The 18,413-nt window shown below is 41.4% G+C and overlaps 1 protein-coding gene and 1 long non-coding RNA gene across 25 annotated transcripts in view, besides 1 other annotated feature; both read left to right on the plus strand.

Annotated features, from left to right (window-relative positions):
* Positions 1–18,413, plus strand: part of TSNAX-DISC1 (TSNAX-DISC1 readthrough (NMD candidate)) — a 512,620-nt gene that overhangs the window by 218,479 nt on the left and 275,728 nt on the right. For 6 of the 7 annotated variants that reach the window (NR_028393.1, NR_028394.1, NR_028395.1 and 3 more), the window contains one exon: positions 2,795–2,945. This is a non-coding gene — a long non-coding RNA (TSNAX-DISC1 readthrough (NMD candidate)). Of the gene's footprint in view, positions 1–2,794; positions 3,489–18,413 lie in introns of those variants that run through there. The other variant, NR_028400.1, reaches the window with a different exon arrangement.
* Positions 1–18,413, plus strand: part of DISC1 (DISC1 scaffold protein) — a 414,483-nt gene that overhangs the window by 120,342 nt on the left and 275,728 nt on the right. For 16 of the 18 annotated variants that reach the window (NM_001164537.2, NM_018662.3, NM_001012957.2 and 13 more), the window contains one exon: positions 2,795–2,945. In NM_001164537.2, the coding sequence (NP_001158009.1) occupies positions 2,795–2,945 (151 nt within the window). Of the gene's footprint in view, positions 1–2,794; positions 3,489–18,413 lie in introns of those variants that run through there. The other 2 variants (NM_001164551.2, NM_001164555.2) reach the window with 1 other exon arrangement.
* Positions 1,698–1,898: a silencer, noted in NCBI's record as "peak767 fragment used in MPRA reporter construct". NCBI's record gives its function as "represses an SCP1 promoter by STARR-seq MPRAs in K562 erythroleukemia cells {active_cell/tissue: K562}" and the evidence as "EXISTENCE:reporter gene assay evidence [ECO:0000049][PMID:32103011]".

Consider the following 18,413-nt stretch of genomic DNA (forward strand, 5'->3'; position numbering starts at 1 on the left):
TGTTTCCCAGGCTGGTCTTAAACTCCTGAGCTCAAGTGATCCTCCTCGTTTAGCCTCCCAAAGTGCTGGGATTACAGGTGTGAGCCATTGGGCCTGGCCTTGTTGATTGTTTTCTTTGCTGTGCAGAAGATTTTTAATTTGATAAAATCTCACTTGTTTAGTTTTGCTATTGTTGTCTGTGCTTTTAAAATCTTATTCATAAAATGTTTTCCCAGGCTCATGTCCTCTGTTTTCTTCTCATAATTTTATCATTTTTGGTCTTACATTTAGGTCTTTGATTGACTTAGACTAGATTTTCATATAAGGTGAGAGACAGGGGTCTACTTTCATCCTTCTGCATATGGATATACAGTTTTCCCAACACCATTTATTGAAGAGACCTTCTTTTCCCCGATTAGTGTTTGGAACCTTTGTCAAAAATCCAAAAATCAGTTGACAGTATATATGTGGATTAATTTCTGGATTCTCAATACTGTTCCATCGGTCCGTGTATCTAATTTTATGCCAGTACCATGTTGTTTTGGTTACTACAGCTTTGTAGTATATTTTGAGGTCTGGTAGTGTGATACCTCCAGTGTTGTTCTTTTCGCTTATGATTACTTTGGTTATTTGGGGTCTTTTGTAGTTCCATACAAACTTTAGGATTTTTTTTTCTGTTTCTGTGAGAAATGTCATTGGTATTTTGATAGAGATTGCACTGTTATTTTAACAATATTAATTCTTACAATCCATCAGTATGGGCTGTCTTTTCATTTGTTTGTATCCTCTTCAATTTCTTTCATCAATGGTTCATAGTTTCCCTTGCAGAGATCTTTCACTTTCTTGGTTAAATTTATTTCTAGGTATTTTAATATTTTTGTAGTTATTGTAAATGAAATTTCCTTATTAATTTATTTTTCAGCTAGTTTATTGTCCATGTATAGAAATGCCACTGGTTTTTGTATATTAATTTTGTATCCTGCAACTTCACTGAATTCATTTATCAGTTCTAAGAGTTTTTTTGCTAGAGTCTTTAGGTTTTTCTAGATATAAGAGCATGCCATCTGCAAATAGGGACAATTTAACTTCTGCCATTCCAATTTGAATGTCTTTTATTTCTCTCTCTTATCTAATTGCTCTGGATAGGACTTCCAGTGCTATGTTGAATAAGACTGGTGACAGTTGGGCATCCTTGTGCTGTTCCATTTATTAGAGGAAAAGCTTTCAGCATTTCCCCATTCAGTAAGATGTTCACTGTGTGTTTGTCAGATATGCCATTTATTACATTGAGGTACTTTCCTTCTATACCTAATTTGTTGAGAATTTTTTTATTATGAAGGGATGTTGAATTTTATCAAAAGCTTTTTCTGCATCTATTGAGATGATCATATGATTTTTGCCCTTCATTCTATTGATGAGATGTATGATGTTTATTGATTTGCATATTTTGAACCAACTTTGCATTCCTGGGATAAATCCCACTTGATCATGGTATATTATCTTTTTGATGTGTTGTTTGATTCTGTTTGCTGATATTCTGTTGAGAATTTTTGTGTCTCTCTTCATCAGAGATGTTGGCTTCTTTTGTTGTTGTGTCCTTGTCTCATTTTGGTGTCAGAGTAATGTTAACCTTGTAGAATGAGTTAGGAGGAATTCCTTGCCTTTTAATTTTTTGGAATAGTTTAAGAAGAATTGGTATTAATTATTCTTTAAAGGTTCAACAGAGGGTGTGGGATAGGGGTAGGGAGTGCATACCTTATGCTTCTAATCTGGAGCAATGCAGCTGTGCAGATTCCTGGCAGCTCTCCAAACTGGACTCAGGGCTTGCAAGAACTGTGAGATTCTCCTTTTGCAAGGACTGTAGGTGTTTGCTCTGTCAATAGGAGTTGATGAGGTCCTTCTGTTTATCTTTTCCATGCAATAAGAAGTCCCTCCTGACTCTAGGCAGATTCAATCTGAGCAGGGGATACAGGGCTGCAGAGGCTGAGTGCCTGCATGCTGCCTTTCGGGACTGCCATTCATCACAGTTGCATCTTCACTCCCCCACCGTACTCCAGCACCCTCCCTTCAACACTCCAGTCAAATCTTACTGTTTATTCATTGCCTTGGTCCTTTTTTTTGGTGGGGGTAGGGGGGCAGGCAGAATGCCAGGCATCTCTAATCAACCATCTGCTGACAGCACTCTTCCAAATGATCTGGAGTTTATTTTTATTTTTAAGAAAAAATTGTATTACACAGATTCTATATTTATACCTTGTGCTAGTAGACTTAAGGTCATTAAAATATAATGGAACCCCTACTTTACAACAGAAGTGGATATATAGTCATCTATAGCATGGTAGAATTCGAACATCATTTCTATGGCTTTAGTAACTGTGACTGGCTCTATCTGGATGTGCAATTTCTGAGGAAATGTTAAAATCAAAACTTGGGCACTGATTTTTTTTAAAAAAGGAATTATATAAAACTCACCAAAATTATAGTTTTTTTCCCCAAAATGCTCATTGTGCTTTTAAAATAATTAATATTAAGTATCCCTCTGTGTGAAGACCATAATTATGACCATCATATCACTATGTCAACAATGACCTTTGAGAGTTAAAAGAATAAAAGATAGGAGAGCCATCTTGTTGGTGCAAAGAAGATTCTTAGAAGTACCAACTGAGAGATGAAAGTGCTGGCCTAGAAACTAGTAACCTTGTCATGATGTCATTAAGGCAAAGGTTCACTACAACTGGAGCTAAGAGACACCGGGGTTATCTATTTTGCATTTCATGGTTCTTTTTTCCTCTCTCTCATCATTTTGGGTTTCCAGCTGAGACGTTACAACAAAGATTAGAAGACCTGGAACAAGAGAAAATCAGCCTGCACTTTCAACTTCCTTCAAGGCAGCCAGCTCTTAGCAGTTTCCTGGGTCACCTGGCAGCACAAGTCCAGGCTGCCTTGCGCCGTGGGGCCACTCAGCAGTGAGTACTTGTTATTGTCACCATTTTCCCCTCATGTTTCTTCCTACCTCTCAGCTCCCACATAGTGAAGAGCTGGGAGGAGCTTAGCTGTAGAGACCCTTGGCTGCCTTTCCTGGGAAGGGCCCTTTGTTGGTTGGGAAGGTGGGGATTCTTCCAGAGTGAGAGATGGCCCATGTGGGTCATGCATCTCTAGAAAGAAGACTTTTCTGCCACTTGACAGAGAGAGAACCTTCTCAAGTGCAGCTGCATCCCAGGTCTGAAGCATCTCTTGGGAAACTACCCTTCTAAGAAGGTGGGGGTAATTTCCTCTTGTTGAGGCAGCTTGGTGTCCTGTGATCATATTAAGCCTGTAAGATAAACAGATGGTCCCCTCTGACCGAGCGATGAAAATCCATCCTCCTCCTAACTCTGCCCTCCAGCTCCTGAGCAACATTTGCTATTTGTGTCACCCAAGGCTCTTCTGAGATTAGTAATATATAGAGAGCAGTTGCTGCTTCTAATCCAGTGGCTTGTGGTCCTGGCTGCATGTTTGAATAACTTAGAAAGATTTAAAACCTACCAATGTCCAGGCTCCTCCCCAGGCAAGCTAAGTCAGAATGTCTAGGTGTGGGAGGCAAGGGTGGCTCCCAGATATTGGCATGCTTAAAAAGGCTGAGAACCACTGCTCCATCTACCTTTGTGTTCCCTTTCTCCCTAGGTAAAGGTCTGAGAGGGAACAGGTGTTTTATGAATGCTATGAGCCTCATCACAATTCAGGTCTGGTTCTACTTAGTTATCAACATGGCCACAACAATTCCACTTTATTTCCCACTTCCAATTGGTCCTGACAATCACAAGATTTTCTGGCCTATTCCTATTAAGTGTACATGGCATTATACATTTAGTTTATCTTGATACCTCCCTGAAGCCTGCCTGCACAGTGAGACCAATTACTTTCAGTTTTGCCAGTAGCATGTAGCAGAGTGAATGGCACCTGGTAGGTGCTTCCTTATAACTATTTGCTTAGTGAACTTTTTCATGGTTCTCCTCAATAGAGAGTGAATTTCACCTCGCCATTTTCATTCTTTTCTAATCTGACATTGAGACATCATTGCAACATTGCGTGTTCCTCTTTCACACATGAGGCCACTCCCAAATTGACTTTCTCTGTAATTCTCTCATTCTTTTATCTTTGGGGTTATTTCTTGTCGTCTACTCCAGTCTTGGGAAAATTTTAGCATGTAAAAATAGGGCACAAAGATTGAGGCACAATAAATTTAGCTAATTTATTATGTTTCTATTTATTTAACAAACACTTTCATAACAGTTACTAAATGCTTTAGAAGTTACTCATTTAATTTATTTCCATTTTTGAAAATTGTGGTAAAATACACATAACATAAAATTCACCATCTTAAGTGATGGTGATTAAGTGATTAAGCCATTGTTAAGTATACAGTTCAGTGGTATTGAATACATCATAATGTTGTGCAATCATCACCACCATTCATCTCCAGAACTTTTCCCTCTTCCCCAACTGACACTCTGTACCCATTAAGCAATAAATCCCCATCCCTTCCCCTCTTCCAGTCCATGACAACCACATTCTAATTTCCATTTCTCTGAATTTGACTACTCTGTGTACCTCATAGAAGTGACATCATACAATATTTGCTCTTTTGTGACTGACATTTCTCATAGTATAGTGTCTTCAATGTTCATCCATCTGATAGCATGTGTCAGAATTTCCTTTCTTTCAAGGCTGTATAATACTCCATTGTATGGATAGACTACAGTTTGCTCATTCATTCATTAAAATAACTCATTTAATGTTCATGACAATTCTAGGGGGTAGTATTATTTTATATATTGATATCTACATGTATAGAGATCTGTATCTACATCTATACCTGAATTTTAGGATGAGGAAACCAGGCCCAATAGAAGCTAAGAAACTTAGGCAGATCCACCAGCAGGTGAGTGCTGAGGGAGACACAAACCCAACTGTCTGGCTTGCATCTTGGCCCTGAATCAGTGCACTGTGCTGCCTTTTAAGTCTGGGCTGGCAAAGGCTGCTATATTATTATCTCTTTAGCCATACCTGCAATTTGGATGGAGAGTGTATTAGTCCATTCTCACATTGCTATAAAGAAATAACTGAGACTGAGTAGTTTATAAATGAAAGAAGTTAATTGTCTCATGGTTCTACAGGCTGTACAGGGAGCATGATGGTAGCATCTGCTCAGCTTCTGGGGAGGCCTCAGTAAACTTACAATCATGGTGGAAGGTGAAAGGGGAGCACACACATTGCATTGCCAGAGTAGGAACAAGAGAGAGAGAGAAAAGAGGGAGGTGCCACACACTTTTAAACAACGAGATCTCATGAGAACTCTATCATGAGAATAGCACCAGAGGATGGTGCTAAACCATTCATGAAGTATCCACCCCCATGATGCAGTCATCTTCCACCAGGCCCTGCCTCCAACACTTGGGATTACAATTTCACTTGAGATTTGGGTGGGGACACAGATCCAAACCATATCATTCCACCCATGTTCTCCCCAAATCTCATGTTTTTCTCACATTGCAAAATACAATCATCCCTTCCCAATAGTCCCCCAAAGACTTAACTCATTTCCAGCATTAACTCAAAAGTCCAAAGTCTCATCTGAGACAAGGCTAGTCCCTTCTGCCTGTGAGAGTCTGTAAAATATAAAACCAGTCAGTTACTTCCAAGATATAGACATTGGGTTAATACTCCTGTTCCAAAAGAGAGAAACTGGTCAAAAGAAAGGGGCTACAGGCCCCATGCAAATTGAAATGCAGTAGGGCAGTCATTAAATCTTAAAGCTCCAAAATAATCTCATTTTGACTCCATGTCTCACATCCAGAGCACACTGGTGCAAGGAGTGGGCTCCCATAACCTTGGGCAGCCCTGCCCTTGTGGCTTTGCAGGGTTCAGATGCTGCAGCTGCTCTCACAGGCTGGCATTGAGTACCTGCAGCTTTTCCATGCTGAGGATGCAAGCTGCCAGTGGATCTGCTATTCCAGGGTCTGCAGGATGGTGGCCCCCTTCTCACAGCTCCACTAGGCAGTGCCCCAGTGGGGACTCTGTGTGGGGTTCCAACTCCACATTCCCCCTCCATATTACCCTAGTAGTGGTTCTCCATGAGGGGTCCTGCCCTGCAGCAGACTTCTGCCTAGACAACCAAACTTTTCCATACATCCTCTGAAACCTAGGCAGAGGCTCCCAAGCCTCAACTCTTGCACTCTGTGCACCTGCAGGCTTAACACCATGTGGAAATTGCCAAGGCTTATGGCTTGCACCCTCAGAAGCAGTGGTCCAAGCTGTATCTGGACCCCTTTGAGCCATGTCTGGAGTTGGAAAAACTGACAGCAGTGTGAGGAGCAGTGTCCTGAGGCTGTGCAGAGCACTGGGGCCCTGGGGCTGGCCCATGAAACCATTCCGTCCTCCTCGGCCTCCAAGCCTATGAGGGGAGGGGCTGCCATGAAGGTCTCTGAAATGCCTCTGAGGCCTTTTCCCCATTGTCTTGGCTATTAGCACTCAGCTCCTTTTTACTTATGCAAATTTTTGCAGCCTGCTTGAATTCCTCCCTCGAAAATGGTCTTTTCTTTTCTACCACATGGCCAAGCTGCAAATTTTCCAAACTTTTATGCTTTGTTTCCTCTTTAAATATAAGTTCAAACTTTAGGTCATTTATTTGCTCATGCATATGAGAATAGGTTGTTAGAAGCAGCCAGGCCACATCTTGAATGCTTTGCTGCTTAGAAATGTCTTCCACCAGATACCCTAAATCATTAATCTCAAGTTCAAAGATCCACAGATTCCCTAGGGCAGGGGCACAATGCAGCCAAGTTCTTTGCTAAGCAATAACAAAATTGACCTTTACTCCAGTTCCCAATAAGTTTCTCATTTCCATCTGAGACCTCATGAGCCTGGCTTTCACTGTTCATATCACTACCAGCATTTTGGTCATAACCATTCAATCAGTTTCTAGGCATTTCCAAACTTTTCCTCATCTTCGTGTCTTCTTCTGAGCCATCCACACTCTTCCAACCTCAGCCCATTACCCGATTCCAAAGCCAGTTCCACATTTTCAGGTATCTTTACTTTATAGCAATGCCCCACTTCTTGGTACCAATTTTCTGTATTAGTCCATTTTCACATTATTATAAAGAAATACCCAAGACTGGGTAATTTATAAAGAAAAGAGGCTTAATTGGCTCACTATTCTGCAGGATGTACAGGAAGCATGATCTGGCATCTGCTCTGGCTTCTGGGGAGGCCTTAGGAAACTTACAATCATGGCAGAAGGTGAAGGGGGAGCTAGCATATCACATGGCTGGAGCAGCAAGAGAGAGAGAAATGGGAGGTATTACTCACTTTTAAACATCCAGACCTTGTGAGAACTCTATCACGAGAACACCAGGGGATGGTGTTAAACATTCATGAAAGATCCATCCCCATGATTTAATCACCTCCCACCAGGACCCACCTCCAACATTGGGGATTACAATTCAACATGAGATTTGGGTGGGGACGCAGATCCAAACCATAGCAGAGAGTGATGCTTTTATTCTGGTCTTGCCTAAGTTTTTGATAGAATATGATTAACTAAAAGCCAGTGTCATGCATTCTTAATTATATTAGGTTACACCATAAGGACATCTCTTACATTTGACTGTTTGAAACCTGTCAAACATTTTATGGGGTTTGACCTAATAAGGCCCCCAGAAAAGTATAGGCCTTTATTAAACATTTATCAAGCCAATATTAACTGTTGGCTTACTTTATGAGCTATCATCCTCTTTCCTTTTCCTTACAGGAGTTGTCTGTATACTATGCCAGTGAATGTTCCATTCACTTTTTGAGCTCACTGTGACCTGATTTCTGTCTCTATCACTCCTCAAATATCTACCAAAGTCAGCAATGACTTTCTATTTGCTAAATTAAAAGACATTTTTCAATTCTTATTCTGCTATGTATCATGGCAGTGTCTAGAATTTTTAATAAATTCATTCTTAAAACTCCCATTTCCCTTGGCTTTCATGATTTCACCCTTCCTGGTCTTCTTGCTACATTTCTGGCCATTCTTCTTAATGTCTTATGAGCTCCTTCTCTCCCTTTCTTCTTAATTTTTTTTTTTTGAGACAGAGTCTCACTCTATTGGCCAGGCTGGTCTCAAACTCCTGGGGTTAAGCAATTCTTCCACCTTGGGCTCCTGAAGTGTTGGGATTACAGGCATGAGCCACCATGCCCAGCCCCTTTCTCTTTAATATTGTTGTTCTTCTGTCTTCTGTTCTAGCTTTTCCTCTCTTCTCACTTTGTATCTTCTTTCTCAGTGGTCTCAAATGCTCTGAGTCTTCAGATACTGTTTCTATACTATTTTTTCCCAAATTTCTATCTCTAGCCCTGATTTATCTCCAGAATTCCAATCCACAATTCAGTTTTCTATTGAGCATCTCCCTTATTTTTACTTAATTTAGTATCTTTTTATCCTTAACATTACTATCTCTTTATCCTTGCCTTTTACTAAGTTTGCTATCTTTTAAACTAAATTTACCGTTGTTCTCCCCATTCAGTTCCTTCTCCTATATCCCCAGTCTGAATGACTTTCACTGCCATTTACCCAGTTACCCAAGCAAGGACTCTGAGGCATCTCTGGATCCTCCCTTTCCATCCCTCCCCACAGTCATTGGTCACCAAGTCCTGTTGTGTCCACTGTCTGTCTCTCTCATTTCCACTCACTTGTCTCACCTGCACGTCAGTGCCTTAGTTCTGGTCTTTAACACTTTAAATCTGGATTATTGCAGTGGTCTCCTTGCTGGTATTTCTGATTCCATTATTACCACCTCTCATTCATCTTCCACAAGGCCATGATAGAAGTATTATGTTATGCTCAATGGCTCCCCATTGCTTGCAGGATAAAATTCATGTTGCTTAGCATGACATTAAAAGTCTTCACGATCCAGCCCCTGCCCAGCTGCCCAGCATTTAACTAGACATTACCAGCATCTGCAATAGACACTTACTGAAATATTATATGTTACCCCCATGTTCTGAATGTTTCTAGATTCTATGATCTTGCTCATGCCCCATTGTTGTTACCAACTATTTCCCATTCTTCCAGACTTAGTGAAACAAATATCCTTGCAAAGCTCTGCTCATCAGTCACACTGCCTCTCCCTTGAATGACAGCATACCTTGAATGACTTCACTTCTGCTTAGGTCTTAAATACATCTGTTTTCTTGAATATCTGTTTACTCTGACAGATGATAAGCTCCTTGAGGACAAGACTGTATTATATTTATCTTTCTATTTCTAGAGACTAGAATAGTGTCTGGCCCATAATCTGTATTCTATATTCATTGAATGTGTGAATGTGACACATATGCATATGTAGCTATATATAGGTTCACAAACGTATATGTGAATATCGAGAGAGAGAGAGAGAGAGAGAGAGAGAGAGAGAGAGAGAGAGAGAGACTGACTTCACTTTATTGGGATTCAGTTGCCCTAGAGGAAAATGCTCCTTCAGCTTTTCTTCTGAAATTGCCAGCAAGAAGGAGTTGCACAGAATCTTGACAGAACCTTGGATAGGAGGTCATTTCTGGTCCTTTCTCTTCCACCAACCAGCTGTATATGGCTTGGTGTAGTTATTGAACCTCTCCAAACTCCACTCCCTTCATCAGAAAATGAGGGGGTTAAATTAGATCACTGGTTTCTAAACTAAAGTTATTTATGTATTATTACCGTAACTAGAAAATAATGAGTTGAAATTAACTTTCTGAAATTTTTCTAATGCATATTAACACAATTACCTAGTTGCTAAAATTTTTTTAAAACCTGCCTTTCAGTGTGCCAGCTACCCACTGCTGTTTTCACAGTGACCACCAGGGGGCCATGGTGGCAGGCTGAAGCTCACACAGCCCAGAGCCTGGACAGAAACCGCTCTCACAGGCTCTCCGAGTCAAGGGGTATATATAATATTTTTGAATGAGTGGTGCTTTTCCTGTAGAAATAAAATAGTTGTATCAACATGAACAATGTTAAATACTAATTAATAACTCAAATAAGTGCCTGCTAACCTTTTTGGGATCAAGTATTTATTTATTTTGAGAAGCTGATGAAAGCTATGGACTTCCTCTATTGCAAAACCACGTGTACACATGTACATATATGAAAACTATTGAGTGTATTTTCAGGAGACTCACAGATCTCCTGAGTTATTCGTTCACTCCTTAGAGGGTCTTTGGTTCCCAGGTTAATAAAATTTAGTTTAGGATAAGATTTAAGAAGCTGTAAACATCCAGATACAATCAGATCCTTTATGTTTTATTATTTTTGTTGTCACTTTGTTCTTAAAAATCACAATTTAATTCAGCTTTTGAGAAACACTGTTTAATCCTCTGAACTCGTGTAGAAGAGCACCCTGGGTTATGTTCAGATCCTGCCAGCAGCCAAGAGAGCTTTAACTATCTTCAGGGGTTAACTAGGTTCCTCTGAGGGCAGATATCGGTACTCAAATCATTTGACCCCTCTTCTGTGGGGTCCTCTGGCCCAGTGGATTTGCTTGTTGGAGGAATAACTTTTGTGATATCCTCTTGATTCCTGTGGGAAGTTCATGTATCTTTGCCACAACAAATGGTATATGCTCAGGCCACCCTATAATAGACCCTCTCTGCCCTGCTAGGTCTCTCTAATTCCTTTTTCCCTGGTTTACGGGGCAGCAACACATCAGAAGTGAGTTCCTTAGACAATGCTGCAGCGGACAGTTTGGGTGCCCTGTGTCCCAATCCCTCGGCCTCCCTCCGATTCCCTCCACAACTGGGAACCGTGCTCACAGTCGGCTTTCCACTCAGGCACCCAACAGGTTTATCAGGCCTGTCTGCACAGGTGTTCTCGGAACCTGTGTGAGGAGGGGTGGGGGTGGATAATGCCCCAGCCTACCCAGCCTCTTAGGGAACAGTTCTGAGGCATGCTCCACACTGTTTTTTTTTTTCTTTTCTAGGAGGTTCCTACTACTAGGAACCTTTTGGCCAATGGGTTCCATTTGTCCGTGTGGTGACCAGCTCCACAGTGAACCTTTTATTGAATTTTCCTCTTTCTCACTCTAGTTTCTTGGGAATCACTTCTTCAAAATCAACCTGTACTCAGGTCCCTGTCTCAGGCTCTGCTGTTAAGAGAACCTAAATATAGACAGATATCCACATTAGAGAATTAGATGTCAGTCTTCCTTCTTGCAGGGCACCCCCAATCTTTGTGAGTGAATCTAGTGGATTTTTTTTTTCCCACTGGGTTTGAGTAGAAGAGTTTACTCCCATGTGGGCCAGGTTTGGATAGGCAAACCATGGGGTAGGGGAGAAAAACGCGTCTCTCATGAAGACCCATTTCCTAGATGGCCAACAGGTGGGTGGGTATTGAGAGTGGTGGTTGATTGCAGAGGTGCTGGTTGAGCAGCCCCAGGGGTAGGATGCCCCACTCCATCATTAGAGATTCAGAATGCAGAGCGTTTAGGTCTAAGTCCTTCAGCTTTAGTTTCCAACTCTGGAGCAACAGGAAATTTCTACCTCAATATCCTGTGACAACAGGGATTAGAAGAGAAGAGAGAGGCTTCTGTTCCTACTGTGTCTTCCATCCAATCAAAGGAAAGTTATTTTTCCTTTCTCCTAAGAGAGAGAGTTGGCCTACTATCATCACACATTTGGAAGATAATTTTCTCATGAATACATTGCATTTCTCTAACTATACACCCCGTGCATTTTTCCACTGGATCTTCACCAATATGTACGTGAAAACTGGTCCTATTTGTAACCGAAATTGTGTGTGTGCATGTATGTGTTTGTATGCATGCGCACACAAAATGTCCTTTATCGAAGACCTTTTCCCAGGGGATAACCTCAAACTCAAGCAAACAAAATATAACAAAGTTTAAAACAAAGATCTATCATGGTTTTCCAGTGGGGCTTATCAAGGCAGAGCCCCAGTTTGCCTGTCCACATATTTCCCACTAGCATGCTTCCTTTGAGATGGGAACAGAGAAGATGAATGTTGTGCAGCACCATGATGCTTTTGGGCAGAGTCATTCTTCCTCTGGCCAATTGCTCCTCAATTGCCTTTGAAACATGTGATTCTTTATTTCCCTTTGGTTGTCATGTAGGGACTAACACAGCATTCAGTGTCACAGAATTCAGTGATGGTCAGCTCTAAGCCCTTGAGATTGGAATCAAGATACACTGTATGAGACCAGAAAATAACTGTTACAGACACATTTTACCCAGGATATAAAATGAGATGGCTATGATACAACATGAAAATTATCATTACTGGCTGGACATGGTGGCTCACACCTGTAATCCCAGCTCTTTGGGAGGCTGAGGCAGGAGGATTGCTTGAGACCAAGAGTTTGAGACAAGCCTGGGCAACATAGTGAGACCCCCATCTCTACAAAAAAAAAAAAAAAAAAAAAAAAACAAAACTAGCCAAATGCGGTGGTGCGTACCTGTAGTCCTATCTACTTGGAAAGCTAAGTCAGGAGGATTGCTTGAACTCAGGAATTTGGGGCTGTAGCAAGCTATGATTACACCACTGCACTCCAGCCTGGCTGACAGAGCAAGATCTCATTGCAAAGAAAAAAATATTTGTTATTACCAACAAACCAGGATATATTTCTGAACCCCAAATCAGATCAGGAGATGGGGAACCACAAGAGACAGTGGCATGCCCTGTGTCCCACTCCCAGGAGACCAACTCCAGACCCTTAGTCATGGCCTCAATAAGAGAAGGGAGAAAGGACAAGGGGGGAAACTAAGTTGTGAGCCACAGAGGACTTCTCAGAACTTGTTTTGGAACTATTGGATTATAAATAAAAGCTCCCAAATAAAGGTCTTCCATATCATCCTCTTTGTTCAAACTCAACTGAAGTCTGTCCTGAGGCCAGTGGCATCAGGCATAACTATTATGAACCCAGATAAATATTCATGTGCCTCTCTTGCCGGGTGGTCATTTCTATGAGTGGGATAAGACTGTATAAAACAATGAAAGTCAGTTTCCTGAGGAATGTGACTTCTCCATGCTCCTTACTTTTTAGACCCAAATCATATATATATGGAAGAATTATAAAGTTACCTGTATTGTCTCTGGCAATTTTACAACATTCTTTTGTGCTCTCAGAATGGCCTTGGTAATTTAGGGCATCGTTTATTGAATGAGCAAGCTATTTCTAGGTGTAAAGTGCACTTCATTGGTTCTATGACTGGCCCAAACCCCTTCTTTATCACCATCTTCCCAAAGAGGGAGAGATGGGACACACAAGTCATATGACATAAATTTGATAGGATAGTCATCAGTAGGGAGCAGCAATTAGCAACCTTAATCAGAAGAGTTATACCCAACTCTTGTTGCCAGAAATAGTCATCTGAAAGGTGGCACTCCCTCAGGACCGCATTTTTCTAACTGTGATGATGAGAACATCGGCCTTGTTAGTTTTGGTCCTTTCTGAGACTAAAATTCTGCGATTCCAGCAGTGGCACAAAGCAATTTTTCTGGTACTCTAACAACATTAGGGGTCTCAGAGAAGGACCTCCTGTGTTACATGTGAAGATGCGTAAACCACAGCACTGTCACTAGCAGTTCCGGTGCAGGATTTTCTCACAGGTGGATTTCCTGGCTTCTCCTTGCCCTGTCAACATTCTCACTTGCAGAGCCTTCTGAAGGTGGCCTCTCGAGCAATGCCAAGGGCACTAGAGGGCCCAGGGGGCCTGAGTGCTGGGCTGGGAAGGAGGTGGCAATGTAGGCTCATCACAGGCGTGCACCCCTTAACAAGCCGGCACAGGAACCACAGACACCTAGACGATTTCTTCATTCTTTTTTCAATATTCCTGAAATATGCATTCAAACAGTCACATGGTAAAAATTGTCAATGGAATGAAAACATTTTTCCTGTGCAATTTGGAGCTAATTTTTTCTGTGATGTAGGATCTTATTTTATGAATGGATTTTATCCTCCTTTAAATTATTGATGGAAAAGGCCAAGATTTTTCCCGTACTGGGGTGGTGCCGATGGAGACCTGTATGACACTGTGGGTTCCGGGTGTGATCTTGGACACCTGAATCCCCATTGGCACTGAGTGCTGTTCTAACATTCTACCCTGCATGTTTTTATTTCTTGCCCCTGAGGGATTTGCTCATTTTGCATACTGATTAGTTTATAGCAGCGATGCTAATTTGCAGCGACATCAGGGATTACACTTTGAGAATTATTAAATATAAAGGGGACAACATTGCAGAACACAGAGGAAGCCTGACTCAGAGGACAGAAGATTTGAAAGACGGAAGCCTGTCCCTTGCTTCATTACTGAGCTACAGTGTGTCCTGGGGCCATCACTCAGCCATCTGTGGATCCCTTTCTCTACCTGGAGTAAGAATATGAGAGACAGACAGAAGAGTTTTGGTTAATCACAGGGGATTTTCTTATGGATTAAGTAATGAATGTGATTAATGATAATATAGAGAATTCCCAGTTACCCACCTGTAGCTACTCTGTAGCTAATTTTCAATTCTGTGTTGATTTCCTTCAATGACTCTCATCCCGACCCAGATGGTATCTATTTAGGAAATTCAAGAAACTTGTACTATTAGCATAAGCAGAGCAAATTGGGGAATAAATTAGTGCAAAGAAATGATCCAATGCAATAGAAAAGTGAATATAAACGGCTTCTGGATTTTCTAGGACACAGACTCATTGAATCATTCTATAAATATTTGCCAAGCCCCTACTAAGTGCTGGGCACTGGGGCCCTCACCATGAGATGAGCTCAGTCCCTTCCCTCCAGGTTCACAGTCAGGAACGAGTAACTGCAAACAGGCTGAGACTCTGCAGCCCAGAGGAGGAAGTGCGTTTCGTTCCCACCGACATCAGTACCTGATAGTAGTAGGATGGTTTTCTTCCAGACATTTCTTCTGATGCATATAAATATCCTCAGACACATTTTATCTTTTTTTCTTTCTCTTTTCTTTTTTCTTTCTTCTTTCCTTTCTTTTCTTTTTTCTTTTCTTTCTTTCTTTCCTTCTTTCTTTTTCTTTCTTTCTTTCCCTTCCTTCCTTCTTTTCTTTCTTTTCTTTTCTTTTCTTTTCTCTTCTTTTCTTTTCTTTTCTTTTCTTTTCTTTTCTTTTCTTTATTTTCTTTCCTTTCCTTTCCTTTTCTTTTCTTTTCCCTTCCCTTGCCTGCCTGCCTGCCTTTCCTGCCTTCCTGCCTTCCTTCCTTTCCTTTCTTTGTGGTATTGATTGCCCTGTTGCCTAGGCTGGGGTGCAGCAGCATGATCATAGCTCACTGCAGCCTCTAACTCCTGGGCTCAAGTGATCCTGCCACTTCAGCCTCCCAAGTAGCTGGGACTACAAGCACGTGCCACTGTGCCTAATTTTTAGTTTTGTTTTGTTTTTTTTTTTTTTTTGGTAGAGATAAGGTCTCACTGTCTTGCCCAGGCTGGACTAGAACTCCTGGGCTCAAGTGATCCTCCTGCCTCAGCCTCCCAAAGTGCTGGGATGACAGGCTTATGCTACCATGCCTGGCCCACATCTTTCATCAGAAAGTGAGTGCTTTGGACATGAGTACAGTGTTCATTTTCCCGATACAAACATTGAGATCCTGGGGAGATCAACAGCAAGCTTCTTGAGGATGGAGGCGTTCTGTCTCCATCCCCAAACAGCCCCAGTGTGAGGGTGGGGTCTGTATACAGGAGATGCTCAGTGGTCATTTATCAAGTCAATTTGTTCCCCATAGTTCGCTCCATAGGGAAAACATTTTTGTTATCATCATCACTGTCATTCTTATTTTAAAAATGAAGAAGGTAAGGTTCAGAGAGATTAGGTAAGTGCGGTGACACGGTGTGAAAAAGGCAGAACCAAGACCCAAAGCGTGGCCTCTGCCTCCACAGGCTGTGCACTCTCCACGTTGCACTGCCCTGCTGATAGCCACCAAGAGGACTCAAACAATGGGTGTGTGTGGATGTGACTGGAAGGCAGGGGAGATGGAAGTTCCTGGGCTTGCTGAGAACCTAATGGTGTGTGGTATCTGGGAAAGAGCAGGAACCTGGGACTCAGCCTGATCCGCATTGACTCCTAAACTCTCCTTCCTGCTGTCTGCATGGCCATGGGCTAGACCCTGACCCACCGGGACTCGGTTTCCTCATCAGCAAAACCGGTATAATAGCATCTTCATCTTAGGTCTGTAATGAGAAGCGAATGTGATCAAAAGATAACGTCTGGTGAACAGTACGTTCTTGATTCATAGTACTTTATTTTATTATTATCAGTTTAAACATTTTTCTTGATGCTGCTATTTGCCTTTAAGCATATGAAACAAAGAATAGATTTCTAAATTATGTCATATGTTACAATAAGTGACCTTTAAGATTATTCAGAGAATCCGATCTTTTTGGTAGACTTAGGAACAAAAGCAAGGTTCCTTTTTCTGTAACTGCTGTTTTCTAACTTACAAAAACTGAGGTGACATATTTTCTAGTATTGTTTCTAAATGTATGAAGCCTGCTTCATTGCACCATGGTTGGTTGGTTCACTTATTTCGTAAGTGTCAAGTTAAGACTCAGCAAGGGGGAAGAGTCTCCCCCAGCTTTAAAGTCTACCATCATTGGTCCATGCCTTGCAATTGCCCATTTCTTCATTGCTTTGTAATTTTTCTGTTGATGCATTTGTCTCTCCTGCTCCATGGAAGAACCAAGAACTGTTTAGCATTGTGTCCCCAGAGCCAAGCACAATCCATAGTACATACCAGGCAAGCTCAGTAATGTTTTTTCTTTTTCTGAATGAATGAATGAAATGGGGTAGGAGTAAAAGGAGACAAACATAGCACAACATATATTAGGATCAGTTACTCATTTTCTTTTCTAAGAAATGCGGAGGCAGTGCGACCCTGTGTTAATATATAAATAAGAACATGCAGCTTCACGCTTCTCCTCATTGAGCCCTGAAATAAGTACAAAGGTGGCAGACAAGATCTAGCTGTGTGGGAGATGCCACGGAAGGAGGGGATAGCTTTAATTTGGCCTTTTTAGGATGCTGAGTTTATGCCTCCAAGTGTCAGAGCCACAGATGTCTGCTCCTCTGCAGGGGAAGATGACCTTGAAGGTGATGTTATTGATGAGCTTTATTTAAAACACAGACATGTTCAAGAGCTACAAGACTAATTGGCTATGTTAAAATATTTAAATCAAAAGTGCAGCTACTTAGTGTGTGTTGGCAAACATTTTATGTTACAGTTGTAAAAATGATACATGCTCACTATGGAAACTTTAGAAAGATCAATGGAAAGAAATGATTCCACCACCCAGAGATAAGAGCTGATAGCATTTTGGTGAATATTTTTCTTTTATTTTATGTACATGTTATTAATATTTTTACAATGGTTCATTTCATACTTTTTGCCATAAAACCTGCTTTAGAAAAAACAGCAATAAATAGTGAACATTTTCCAGGCCAGTGTATCTTCTTGTGTGACCTAATTTTAGTGGCTGCTTAGCATTGCTAAGAGGTCCTGATGCTGGAGCACGATTAGAGTATTTTCAGTCTTGGGCTACTAAGAAAAAAACCTGATTTTTGTAGCCGATCTTTGTGTAAAACTATGATTATTTACATGCAATCAATACTTGGATGTGGGAATGTAGAATCCCAAGTTATATTTAATTTTAAGTCTCATTCTTATTCCCTACTCTCACCAAAGACTTATGGTTTGGGAAAACCTTTGCCAGGCCAGTTTGTTAGGTGAAAGATGATGTTTTATGTTGTTTGGATTTTCATTTAAAACTATCTTTGGAGGCTGGGCTTGGTGGCTCATGGCTGTAATCCCAGTACTTTGGGAGGCCGAGGTGGGCGGATCATCAGGTCAGGAGATCGAGACCATCCTGGCCAACAAGGTGAAACCCCGTCTCTACTAAAAGTACAAAAATTAGCTGGCTGTGGTGGCGCGTGCCTGTAGTCCCAGCTACATTGGAGGCTGAGGCAGGAGAATCGCTTGAACCTGGGAGGCAGAGGTTGCAGTGAGCCAATATCATGCCACTGAACTCCAGCCTGGGCAACAGAGCTAGACCTTGTCCACCCTACAAAAAAAAAAAAAAAAAAAAAAAACTTTGGATAATAATCATTTTCCTTAACACTTCATTTATTTCTGAGGTGGGGGATCTTGCTATGTTGCCCAGGTTGGTCTCAAATTCCTAGGCTCAAGCAGTTCTCTGCCTTGGCCTCCCAGGTAGCTGGAACTACAGGTGTGCATCACCACGCTCAGCTGTATTCCATCTTTTTGGAATTTCTGGTTGGTGCACTTGTCTTTTCCTTCATAATTTGATATAACTTTTTATAAATTAGCAATATTATCCCTTTTTCTGCCATATGTGTAGCAATATATTTTTCCCCACTTGTCGTTCGCCTATTAGTTTTAGTTGATGGTGTTTTC

This window comes from Homo sapiens, chromosome 1 (genome assembly GCF_000001405.40).
Source record: "Homo sapiens chromosome 1, GRCh38.p14 Primary Assembly".
NCBI lineage: Eukaryota > Metazoa > Chordata > Mammalia > Primates > Hominidae > Homo > Homo sapiens.